Source organism: Homo sapiens, chromosome 14, assembly GCF_000001405.40.
Source record: "Homo sapiens chromosome 14, GRCh38.p14 Primary Assembly".
Taxonomy (NCBI): domain Eukaryota; kingdom Metazoa; phylum Chordata; class Mammalia; order Primates; family Hominidae; genus Homo; species Homo sapiens.
The window spans coordinates 65,123,566-65,124,885 of record NC_000014.9 but is presented as its reverse complement, the minus strand read 5'-3'; the positions used below and the strand labels follow the sequence as shown (position 1 = coordinate 65,124,885).

The 1,320-nt window shown below is 39.8% G+C and overlaps 1 pseudogene; it reads left to right on the top strand.

Annotated features, from left to right (window-relative positions):
- On the top strand, nucleotides 344–531 carry RNU2-14P (RNA, U2 small nuclear 14, pseudogene; annotated as a pseudogene).

Below are 1,320 nucleotides of genomic sequence, written 5' to 3'. Positions count from 1 at the left end.
TTCTTGTTGCCCAGGCTGGAGTGCAATGGTACAATCTCGGCTCACTGCAACCTCCACCTCCCAGGTTCAGGCGATTATCCTGCCTCAGCCTCCTGAGTAGCTAGGATTACAGCCCAGCTAATTTTTTGTATTTTTAGTAGAGATGGGGTTTTGCCATGTTGGCCAAGCTGGTCTTGAACTCGTGACCTCAGGTGATCCACCTGCCTCGGCCTCCCAAAGTGCTGGGATTACAGGTGTGAGCCACTGCACCCAGCCTCCCTGATTATTTTTTAATTAAAAAATTAATGCAAATATCATGAACAATAAAGAAAGACTAAGAAACTCTCTTAGAAGGAAACTAAGGATCACTTCTTGGTCTTTTGGCTAAGATCAAGTATAGTATCTGTTTTTATCAGTTTCATATCTGATATGTCCTCTATCCAAGGACAATATATTAAATGGATTTTTGGAAACAGGAGATGGAATAGGAGCTTGCTACATCCACTCCACACATTGACCTGATATTGCAGTACTTCCAGGAACAGTGCACCCAAACCTTGAAAAAAAATTTTTTTTTTTTTGAGACAGAGTCTCACTCTGTCGCCCAGGCTGGAGTGCAGTGGTGCCATCTCTGCTCACTGCAAGCTCCACCTCCCAGGTTCACGTCATTCTCCTGCCTCAGCCTCTTGAGTAGCTGGGACTACAGGCACCTGCCACCACACCTGGCTAATTTTTTTGTATTTTTAGTAGAGACGGGGTTTCACTGTGTTAGCCAGGATGGTCTTGATCTCCTGACCTCGTGATCCATCTGCCTCAGCCTCCCAAAGTGCTGGGATTACAGGCGTGAGCCACTGCACCTGGCCGAAAAAATACAAATTTTAATGAAAAAACAAAAAAAGAAGAAGGAGACTAAGGAGACAGGACAACTAAATGCAATGTGGAATCTTGGGCCTGAAAAGAACATTAGTGAGACAATGATGAAACTGGAATAAGGCATACTACTACTACTACTACTACTAATGTTATTATTAGTTAATAATGTTATGTCAATGTTAATTTTATGATGTTGATCATTCTACTATGATTATGTAAGATGTTACTATTAAGGCAATCTAGGTGAAAGGTATATAGGAAGACTTGACAGGATTTCTGTAACCTTTCTGTAAGTACAACATTATTTCAAAGTAGAATTTTTTTTTTTAAGTATTGCATTTTGGGCACATGTTCCCAGGATCTCCTTAGGGCTGTGTCATGTAAAAAAATATTTTTAAAGTATTGCACTTTATTTAGAAAAAATTCAAATAAGATAGACATATTCAAACTAAAAAATGAAGAACAAAT